Raw genomic sequence first — 11,266 nt, 5'->3', positions numbered from 1 at the left:
TTAATAGTTAAGCTTTTTAGCTAAATCTCTCCAAATTATATTATATGGTTTCTCTAAGAATATCACATTCTTTTACTTTTCACAGTCTACTAAGATTCAATAATGTTCCACTTTACATGAAATTTGAGGATCTTACAACTGTGTATGACCACACTCCTATCTTTAATGCCATATCTATCTATACGTACACACATATTACATCTATGTTATCAACCAACACACAATGTTACAATGTTGAGTTTAAAGTGAAATTTGTAAGAAGTTTGTTTTTCAAGTCTGAGGAGTTTTCAAGCTTTATCTATTAAAATAAAATTTTTCCGTTCGCTCTTCTCCTTCTGGGACTACCAATTATGCATGTTAGGTTTTTTAATAATGTCTGGCAATTTTTGAGTTTGTGTTAATTTTTTTAATTATCTTTTAGATTGAATAATATTTATCAGCCTTTAATAGCTCTACCTTTTATCTCTAATTTGCTGTTGAACCAATCTGATGAATTTCACATTTCAGATATAGTATTTTTCAGTTTAAAAGTTTACGTTTGGTTCTTTTATGAACACTTTTTTTTATGTTTAAATTTCTTCTCCACTCATTCTACATAAACATAGCTTCCCTTATTTTTGAACATGTGTTCAACTAGTTATAATGATATATTGCTTTTCAAAATTGTTATTGATTGCAACATTTGGTTCATCTTACTGTTAGCCTCCATTTGTTACTTGTTCTGTTGTATAGGCATTGTGTATACTCTCTGAAGGATGAATGAGTGAAAAGAATAAAAAATGAAAAACTCATGCTCAAAATGTAATTCTTTTTTTTTTTTTTTTTGAGATAGAGTTTTGCTCTTGTTGCCCAGGCTGGAATGCAATGGCGTGAACCCAGTATGTGTGCCATGTACAGGTATGTACATGTATGCCATTTGGTAGCTCAACAATTATAAAATAGCAGCAATGCTACGTAGTTCAATCTAATAGAAGTTCAGGAGAGAGATGGTGGCTTGTACTGTAATAATGTCAGTGGCTGTGGTGAGCCAGATGACCCGTTCCTGCCTTAACTCATGACATTCCACCACAAAAGAAGTGAAAATGGCCTGTTCCTGCCTTAACTGATGACATTGTCTTGTGAAATTCCTTCTCCTGGCTCATCCTGGCTCAAAAGCTCCCCTACTGAGCACATTGTGACCCCCACTCTGCCCACCAGAGAACAACCCCGTTTGACTGTAATTTTCCTTTATCTACCCAAATCCTATAAAACGGCCTCATCCCTATCTCCCTTCGCTGACTCTCTTTTTGGACTCAGCCTGCCTGCACCCAGGTGAAATAAACAGCCATGTTGCTCACACAAAGCCTGTTTGGTGGTCTCTTCACACGGACGCGAGTGAAATTTGGTGCCATGACTCGGATCAGGGGACCTCCCTTGGGAGATCAATCCCCTGTCCTCCTGTTCTTTGCTCTGTGAAAAAGATCCACCTACGTACGACCTCAGGTCCTCAGACCCACCAGCCCAAGGAACATCTCACCAATTTTAAATCAGGTAAGCGGCCTCTTCTTACTCTCTTCTCCAACCTCTCTCACTATCCCTCAACCACTTTCTCCTTTCCACCCTTCAATCTCTCCCTTCTCTTAATTTCAATTCCTTTCATATTCTGGTAGAGACAAAGGAGACACGTTTTATCCGTGGACCCAAAACTCCGGCGCTGGTCACGGACTAGGAAAGGCAGCCTTCCCTTGGTGTTTAATCATTGCAGGGATGCCTCTCTGATTATTCACCCAGGTTTCAAAGGTGTCAGACCACGCAGGGATGCCTGCCTTGGTCCTTCACCCTTAGCAGCAAGTCCCTCTTTTCTGGGGAAGGGGCAAGTACCCCAAACCCTTCTCTCCGTGTCTCTACACCTTCTCCGCCTTTCTGGGGGGCAAGAAACCCCCAACCCCTTCTCCTTCACCCTGAGCCGCAAGTCCTACATTTCTAGAGGAGGGGCAAGTACCCCAACCTCGTATCTCTGCGCCCCAATCCCTTATTTCCATGCCTCAACCCCTTTCCCACTTTTCTGGAAGGTAAAAACCCACGAACCCCTTCCGTCCATGTCTCTACTCTCTCTTTTCTCTAGGCTTGCTTCCTTCACTATGGGCGACCTTCCACCCTCCATTCCTCCTTCTTCTCCCTTAGCCTGTGTCCTCAAAAACTTAAAACCTCTTCAACTCTCACCTGACCTAAAATCTAAGCATCTTATTTTCTTCTGCAATGCCACTTGACCCCAATACAAACTCGACAGTAGTTCCAAATAGCCAGAAAATGGCACTTTCAATTTTCCCATCCTACAAGATCTAAATAATTCTTGTCATAAAATGGGCAAATGGTCTGAGGTGCCTGATGTCCAGGCATTCTTTTACACATCGGTCCCTCTCTAGTCTCTGTTCCCAATGCAACTCATCCCAAATCTTCCTTCTTTCCCTCCCACCTGTCCCCTCATCCCAACCCCAAGCGTCGCTGAGTCTTTCTAATCTTCCTTTTCTACAGACCCATCTGACCTCTCCCCTCCTCCCCAGGCTGCTCCTTGCCAGGCCGAGCTAGGTCCCAATTCTTCCTCAGCCTCCGCTCCTCCACCCTATAATCCTTTTATCACCTCCCCTCCTCACACCCGGTCCGGCTTACAGTTTCATTCCGTGACTAGCCCTCCCCCACCTGCCCAGCAATGTACTCTTAAAAAGGTGACTGGAGCTAAAGGCATAATCAAGATTAATGCTCCTTTTTCTTTGTCCCAAATCAGATAGTGTTTAGGCTCTTTTTCATCAAATATAGAAACCCAGCCCAGTTCATGACTCATTTGGCAGCAACCCTGAGACATTTTACAGCCCTAGACCCTAAAAGGTCAAAAGGCCGTCTTATTCTCAAAATACATTTTATTACCCAATCTGCTCCCGACATTAAATAAAACTCCAAAAATTAAATTCCGTCCCTCAAACCCCACAACAGGATTTAATTAACCTCACCTTCAAGGTGTACAATAATAGAAAAAAGTTGCAATTCCTTGCCTCCACTGTGAGACAAACCCCAGCCACATCTCCAGCACACAAGAACTTCCAGATGCCTGAATCGCAGCAGCCACGCATTCCTCCAGAACCTCCTCCCCCAGGAGCTTCCTATAATTGCCAGAAATCTGGCCACCAGGCCGAGGAATGCCTGCAGCCCAGGATTCCTCCTAAGCCGCGTCCTATCTGTGTGGGACCCCACTGGAAATCAGACTGTCCAACTCACCTGGCAGCCACTCCCAGAGCCCCTGGAACTCTGGCCCAAGGCTCTCTGACTCCTTCCCAGATCTTCTTGGCTTAGCGGCTGAAGACTGATGATGGCTGATCACCTCAGAAGCCCCCTAGACAATCAGGGACGCCGAGCTTCAGGTAACTCTCACAGTGGAAGGTAAGTCCATCCCTTTCTTAATCAATACGGAGGCTACCCACTCCACATTACCTTCTTTTCAAGGGCCTGTTTCCCTTGCCTCCATAACTGTTGTGGGTATTGACAGCCAGGCTTCTAAACCTCTTAAAACTCCCCAACTCTGGTGCCAACTTAGACAATACTCTTTTAAGCACTCCTTTTAGTTATCCCCACCTGCCCAGTTCCCTTATTAGGCCAAAACACTTTAACTAAATTATCTGCTTCCCTGACTATTCCTGGATTACAGCTACATCTCACTGTTGCCCTTCTTCCCAACCCAAAGCCTCCTTTGCGTCCTCCTCTTGTATTCCCCCACCTTAACCCACAAGTATAAGATGCCTCTACTCCCTCCTTGGCAACCGATCATGCACCCCTTACCATCTCATTAAAACCTAATCACCCTTACCCTGCTCAATGCCAATATCCCATCCCACAGCACGCTTTGATAGGATTAAAGCCTGTTATCAGTCGCCTGCTACAGCATGGCCTCTTAAAGCCTATAAACTCTCCTTACAATTCCCCCATTTTACCTGTCCTAAAACCAGGCAAGCCTTACAAGTTAGTTCAGGATCTATGCCTTATCAACCAAATTGTTTTGCCTATCCACCCCATGGTGCCAATCCCATATACTCTCCTATCCTCAATACCTCCCTCCACAATCCATTATTCTGTTTTGGATCTCAAACATGCTTTCTTTACTATTCCTTTGCACCCGTCATCCCAGCCTCTCTTCACTTTCACTTGGACTGACCCTGACACCCATTAGGCTCAGCAAATTACCTGGACTGTTCTGCCGCAAGGCTTCACAGACAGCTCCCATTATTTCAATCAAGCCCAAATTTCATCCTCATCTATTACCTATCTCGGCATAATTCTCATAAAAACACATGTGCTTTCCCTGCTGGTCGTGTCCGATTAATCTCCCAAACCTCAATCCCTTACAAAACAACAACTCCTTTCCTTCCTAGGCATGGTTAGTGCGGTCAGAATTCTTACACAAGAGCCAGGACCGCACCCTGCAGCCTCTCTGTGCAAATAACTTGACCTTACTGTTTTAGCATAGCCATCAAGTCTCCGTGCAGCGGCTGCTGCCGCCCTAATACTTTTAGAGGCCCTCAAAATCACAAACTATGCTCAACTTACTCTCTACATTTCTCATAACTTCCAAAATCTATTTTCTTCCTCATACCTGATGCATATACTTTCTGCTCCCCGGCTCCTTCAGCTGTACTCACTCTTTGTTAAGTCCCACAATTACCACTGTTCCTGGGCCGGACTTCAATCTGGCCTCCCACATTATTCCTGATACCACACCTGACCCCCATGACTGTATCTCTCTGATCCACCTGACATTCACCCATATTTCCTTCTTTCCTGTTCCTCACCCTGATCACGTTTGATTTATTGATGGCAGCTCCACCAGGCCTAATCGCCACACACCAGCAAGGGCAGGCTATGCTATAGTACAAGCCACTAGCCCGCCTCTTAGAACCTCTCATTTCCTTTCCATCGTGGAAATCTATCCTCAAGGAAATAACTTCTCAGTGTTCCATCTGCTATTCTACTACTCCTCAGGGATTATTCAGGCCCCCTCCCTTCCCTACACATCAAGCTCAAGGATTTGCCCCCACCTAGGACTGGCAAATTAGCTTTACTCAACATGCCCCAGGTCAGAGAACTAAAATACCTCTTAGTCTAGGTAGACACTTTCACTGGATAGGTAAAGGTCTTTCCTACAGGGTCTGTGAAGACCACCACAGTCATTTCTTCCCTTCTGCCAGACATAATTCCTCAGTTTAGCCTTCCCACCTCTATACAGTCTGATAACAGACCAGCCTTTATTAGTCAAATCAACCAAGCAGTTTTTCAGGCTCTTAGTATTCAGTGAAACCTTTATATCCCTTTCAGTCCTCTGTCTTCAGGAAAAGTAGAATGGACTAAAGGTCTTTTAAAAACACACCTCACCAAGCTCAGCCACCAACTTAAAAAGGACTGGACAATACTTTTACGACTTTCCCTTCTCAGAAGTCAGACCTGTCCTCAGAATGCTACAAGGTATAGCCCATTTGAGCTCCTGTATAGACGCTCCTTTTTATTAGGCCCCAGTCTCATTCCAGACACCAGACCAACTTAGACTGCGCCCCAAAAAAACTTGTCATCCCTACTATCTTCTGTCTAGTCATACTCCTATTCACCATTCTCAACTACTCATACATGCCCTGCTCTTGTTTACACTGCCGGTTTACACTGTTTCTCCAAGCCATCACAGCTGATATCTCCTGGTGCTATCCCCAAACTGCCACTCTTAACTCTTGAAGTAAATAAATAATCTTTGCTGGCAGGACTATGCTGAATCTCCTTAGGCACTCTCTAATCAGATGTCCTGAGTCATCCCAATTCTTAGACCTTTTATACCTGTTTTTCTCCTTCTGTTATTCCATTTTTCAATTCATACAAAACTATATCCAGGCCATCACCAATAATTCTAAATGACAAATGTTTCTTCTAACAACCCCACAATATCACCCCTTACCACAGAATCTTCCTTCAGCTTAATCTCTCCCACTCTAGGTTCCCACGCTGCCCCTAATCCCACTTGAAGCAGCCCTGAGAAACATCGCCCATTATCTCTCCATTCCCCCCGCAAAAATTTTCACCGTCCCAACACTTTACCACTATTTCATTTTTTTTTCTTATTAATATAAGAAGACAGGAATGTCAGGCCTCTGAGCCCAAGCTAAGCCATCATATCCCCTGTGACCTGCATGTACACATCCAGATGGCCAGTTCCTGCCTTAACTCATGACATTCCACCACAAAAGAAGTGAAAATGGCCTGTTCCTGCCTTAACTGATGACATTGTCTTGTGAAATTCCTTCTCCTGGCTCATCCTGGCTCAAAAGCTCCCCCACTGAGTACCTTGTGACCCTCACTCCTGCCCGCCAGAGAACAACCCCCTTTGTAATTTTCCTTTATCTACCCAAATCCTATAAAACGGCCCCACCCCTATCTCCCTTCGCTGACTCTCTTTTTGGACTCAGCCTGCCTGCACCCAGGTGAAATAAACAGCCATGTTGCTCACACAAAGCCTGTTTGGTGGTCTCTTCACATGGACGCGAGTGAAAATACTTTTCAGGTTACTATTATTTGACATTTGTTTATGATTACAGATAACACATTTATCCGATTGAAACTGCCTTTACAAAAATTATAACTGAGGAAATTATGACAGTGAAAGAGATCAGACTTAACTGACTCCATCTTGCTTCTAACCTTTAAGCTGTCCTTGTTCATTCCTGGGCATCGGCCGAACTAACCTTGGGAAGGAATTCAGTCTATGGTTTGACTCTGAAACAAAATTGATAATAGCCCTTTCTTGAAAAGACCCCCTTCTTGCCTGGGGACCAGTCTGTCTTTGCAGGACTAACAAATTAGCTACAAGATTATGGGTTAGAGCCACTACCTGCCAAATTATCTTTAAAAACGCAGATCCCTGAATGCTCAGGGAGACTGATTTGAGTAATAATAAAACTCCGGTCTCCTGCACATCCAGCTCTGCGTGAATTACGCTTTCTCCATTGGAATTCCCCTGTCTTCAGAAATCGGCTCTGTCTAGACAACAGACAAGGTGAACCCGTTGGGTGGTTACACTATTTTCAGTAGAAATATTATAAGGTAAAAAATCAAATTTTATTCAGATTTCTATTAAATATAGTAAAAATATAGATGATCAAATTTGGAAATATTTGATGCTGCCAATTCTCATTTTAAAAATGATTTTCATTATTTTGTCTAATCTAATTCACCTAAAAACACAAATATACAAGATTTATCATAAATTAAGCCCTTATGAAATGGAGACAATGATCCTTTTGTTAACAACTCATACAAAGACTTGAATATTCATGTTATCCTCTTCTGAGTACATTTAGAACTTTTTTTTTTACCTTCATAACTTCAATATATGTCTTCCAGTGAAGGCTGTATATTTAATTTTAAATTCTAGCATAGTTTGACCTTCTATTTTGGCATTCAGTCATCTCTATTTTAAAAATCTGGCTTGATGATTGTTTTACTGAGGACATGCCTCATGGATTTTCAGATGACTTTTAATGTGCTGTTATTCTCCATTTAATCATTTCAAATCTATTAAAGATACCAGCATAGTTCCTTAGATTGTCATTAAAAGACTTTAAAAATGGCTCAGTACTGGAATTTCTTCATATTGCTCCATCTAGATAAACATTAAGCAACCATTACATTAAGCTTTGCCCATTAGGTGAATAGAGAATATGCTTCAAAGGCATAATTTATCTGCTCAGAGTTCAAGAAAATCCTTGCTTTAACTTTGATATTTGCTCTATCTACTTTGTACGGATTCCTGAATCATGTCTCTTCAGTAACATTGCTTACTAATAATAAAAATAAAGGAATATAGAAGAATTTTTACTTGGCAAATTTTCTTTTTAGTATTGCTTTGTTTTTATCAAAATAAAAGAGTATATTTCCTCTTTAAAAATTATTCTGAACTTTCAGTTTTTCTAAATTCCAGGCTAATTATAATCCCAGTTAATCTAAGGGCAAATCATTTTTTCAGGATAGTTCAGAAGAAACTTTGACCCACCTCTTCCTCATTTTATATTAATATATATGAGCTCACCAAGACTGCCTTAATGTTCCTGTCAGCTTTAGTTAACTTTAGAAAGATTTCTTCCTGACTATAGGGCTGACCTCCCTTTTCTCAGAGCATTTACTTTAGAAAACTTGTAATTTAGCCCTTTTTCTCCTTTGAAATGTAAATCTTCTCCCAGCTTTGCATGAGTTTTTAAAACCCAAAGAATGTTTCTCAAGGAATGTTTTCTCTGGGAGCTATCCTTTTGAAATGTAATCAAAGGAGGTACTGCCTACTCTTATCTTCTAGTCTCAGTGGGAAGGTAGGAGCACAACTTCAGTGAGTGACAATTAGCACTAACATTCTAATTATTGGCCTAATCACATCGATCTCTATAGTCCTACAGTGTTTTTCTACTAGCTCACCCCAGTGCCTAAGCATCTTCCTGCCTTTTATTTCAGTGGAGTTCAGCTCAGTCTCTCTGTCCTATTGCAATCATATTAAATAGATTTCCTTGCTTGTTTAACTGTGTCAGGTGCAATTTCTTAGATATGGCTATACAAGAGTTACATTCATTCCTAAAAAAAAGGAAGTGCACAAGCTAAAATTTAGGGCTCACTTAATATGGGGGCCTAATAATAAATATAACAGCAACACTAAAATGTATTGGGTGCTTACTATGTGAAATACATTATTTATTTAAATCAACTTATTGAATCATGAAAACCAACACACACACACACACGCACGCACGCACAAACACACGATTCTGTATATTTCCCAGTAATTACCTAGTGGAATAAGTACAGTGCTTTGCAATACAGATCAATACTTAGGTACTGGATATTAAAAGGCAAAAGTTGTCATAAATTCAAAAAGTATTGAATTTTTTACTTAGCGTAAAAACAAATATTAATAAACATACTTTTTCAAAAACTTGTATTTTCTCATAAATACCATCTGTAATCGGGGTTTCAACAATGCCAATGAGGTAATAAAATGGAGGGCACAGTCAGCCTTGTCACATGGCAGGCAACTAAATAAAAGGATGCTGTTACAGAGAGCCACTAGTTCTTTCTGCCAATGGGAGATAATGGAGCTCTCTCATTTAAATGAAGTCTTACTGGCTGGTGAAAGGGAACTCAACTCTTTATGCTCTGGTTATTTTCTGGGTCTACTGACTTTTTTATTGACTTATTTCCTTACCCTAGAATCTGCTCTGAGATGTGCACCCTAACTGCTAACTTCCAATACTCTATCTGTTCACCAAGCAAAGTAAAATATTTTTTTGTAAATTTCACAATATACCCTGAGTAAAAATATATTTTTTAATTGGCTTTTTCTTCCAGCAGAAAAAGCTCAAATTCCCAGTATTCCAGTAGAAAAGGTAAAAAAGCAATGCTTAGTTTTCTTTCATTCAAAAGTCAATGAAAAGAAAAAAATACAAGGTTTCCAAGTTAATTATATTTTAAAAGAGGTAAATATTAATATTCTGCTAAATATGCATAATGTGAGATAATTTGATGCTGAACAGATGAAGGTATACTATTTAATAATTAGTTCCGTTAGTTCCCTTGCTATTGTCTATTTTCCTATGTTGCTGTCTTCATTAAATAAGATATGTGCCTCATTTGTAAATACTTATGAAATTACATAAGCCAGAAAATGTTCAATATAGTCGACATTCAGGATTTTTTAAAGCAGGGATGCTTTTCTCCAATGTTCACAACACTGACTTATTCCCCTTCACGTAAACTCACAAAGTTTAAAACACACAATGACATACAAGTTTAGATACCTTGGAAGCTTTTTGAGGGCAGAGTTTGGTTCTATTTTTGTTTCAATCACATAGAGAGCACAAAAAATGAAAATTAAATCCGTGGTTTATAGATTTATATACATTAAGAATGTAAGGTTTTTAAAAAAAATAAGTTGTATATTTTTAAGTATTTTTGCTTTTATTCTTCTCTCAAATTTATTTATACCTAACCTCCTATGAAAATTTAACCATTTTCTAAGTATTCTGTTTAAATATTGTAATATTTGCAGAAAAGCATTGTGAACAGCAACTACACACACATTGACATCATGCCAAATGGAATCGATATCTGTATATAGACAAATACAACAAACAAAATACCAAAGAATACACTACCAGTCAGAGTAACAAAGCACTATTATAGGAACCCCAATTAAGTCAGGGAAAATTAGAAACACCTGGAGGTGTATCAGGTTGATATTATTCCTTGGTTCCAGTGAGGAAACAAAAGAAAATATTTCTCAGAAATAAATATTTATCAAATTATTCTTCTCAAGTTTTCTAAAAATTATGATATATGAAATAAGAGCTTTTAAGAGAATTAGGAAACTTGTATTTGGAACTGAAGAAATGAAGCAGAATGTATTATGGAGAGATTTTAAAAAATGAAAATAGAAAAAGGTAAAAATATAAGAAAGGTAGAATAAAAAGTTCTCACAAACATCTAAACGGGGTCCTAGAAAAAACGGACATAGATAATGGGATAGAGGAACTATCTGAAGGGATTAAGTATTTTTTTAGCACTAATAAAACAAATGAGCCAGAGGAAGAGAAACCTCAGTGGAATAAATGGGAAAATGTTAGCAAAAATACCAGAATAATACAAAGTGAAAACCTTAAAACTAACTAGAACAAAAACATTTTTGACATGAACAGTCAGTAGAAGCCATACTAAACACAGAACTATATTCAAAGGTCAAAAAAAGTATTTGTCAAAGTTTTGTGCCAAACAAGTGTTTTTACTAGTTTTCTATTGCTGCTACAATATGTTACCGCGAATATAGTGGTTTAAACAATGGAAATGAATTATCTTACAGTTCTTGTTCTTTTGGAGGCTCTGAGATAAGTCATTTCTTTGCCCTCTCCAATGACTAGAAGCCACTGTTTCTTCACTCATAGCCTTTCCTTCACCTTCAAAATCGGCAACACACGTCTGACCCTGTTCCCATCTTTACATCTCTTTTTCCTTTCTTTTTTTGAAACAGGGTCTTGATGTGTTGCCCATCCTGGGGTACAGTGGCATGATCATAACTCACTGCATCATCAAACTCCTGGGCTCAAGTAATCCTCCTACCTCAGCCTCCTAAGTAGCTGGGTCTAAAGGCATGTGCCACCATGCTTGGGTTTTTTGTGTGTGTTTGTTTTAGTAAAGATGGGGGTCTTGCTCTGTTGCCCAGGCTGAT

General features: G+C 39.8%; 3 annotated features.

Moving 5' to 3' along the window:
- Positions 3,253–3,753: an enhancer, noted in NCBI's record as "H3K27ac hESC enhancer chr4:116899658-116900158 (GRCh37/hg19 assembly coordinates)". NCBI's record gives its function as "activates a minimal SCP1, AML or CMV promoter by ChIP-STARR-seq in primed H9 embryonic stem cells {active_cell/tissue: H9 hESC(primed)}" and the evidence as "EXISTENCE:reporter gene assay evidence [ECO:0000049][PMID:30033119]".
- Positions 5,659–6,500: an enhancer, noted in NCBI's record as "OCT4-NANOG-H3K27ac hESC enhancer chr4:116896911-116897752 (GRCh37/hg19 assembly coordinates)". NCBI's record gives its function as "activates a minimal SCP1, AML or CMV promoter by ChIP-STARR-seq in naive H9 embryonic stem cells {active_cell/tissue: H9 hESC(naive)}" and the evidence as "EXISTENCE:reporter gene assay evidence [ECO:0000049][PMID:30033119]".
- Positions 7,942–8,605: an enhancer, noted in NCBI's record as "OCT4-NANOG hESC enhancer chr4:116894806-116895469 (GRCh37/hg19 assembly coordinates)". NCBI's record gives its function as "activates a minimal SCP1, AML or CMV promoter by ChIP-STARR-seq in primed H9 embryonic stem cells {active_cell/tissue: H9 hESC(primed)}" and the evidence as "EXISTENCE:reporter gene assay evidence [ECO:0000049][PMID:30033119]".

The sequence above is a fragment of the Homo sapiens genome, chromosome 4 (assembly GCF_000001405.40).
Source record: "Homo sapiens chromosome 4, GRCh38.p14 Primary Assembly".
Lineage (NCBI taxonomy): Eukaryota > Metazoa > Chordata > Mammalia > Primates > Hominidae > Homo > Homo sapiens.
This window is presented reverse-complemented; position numbering and strand designations above follow the sequence as displayed.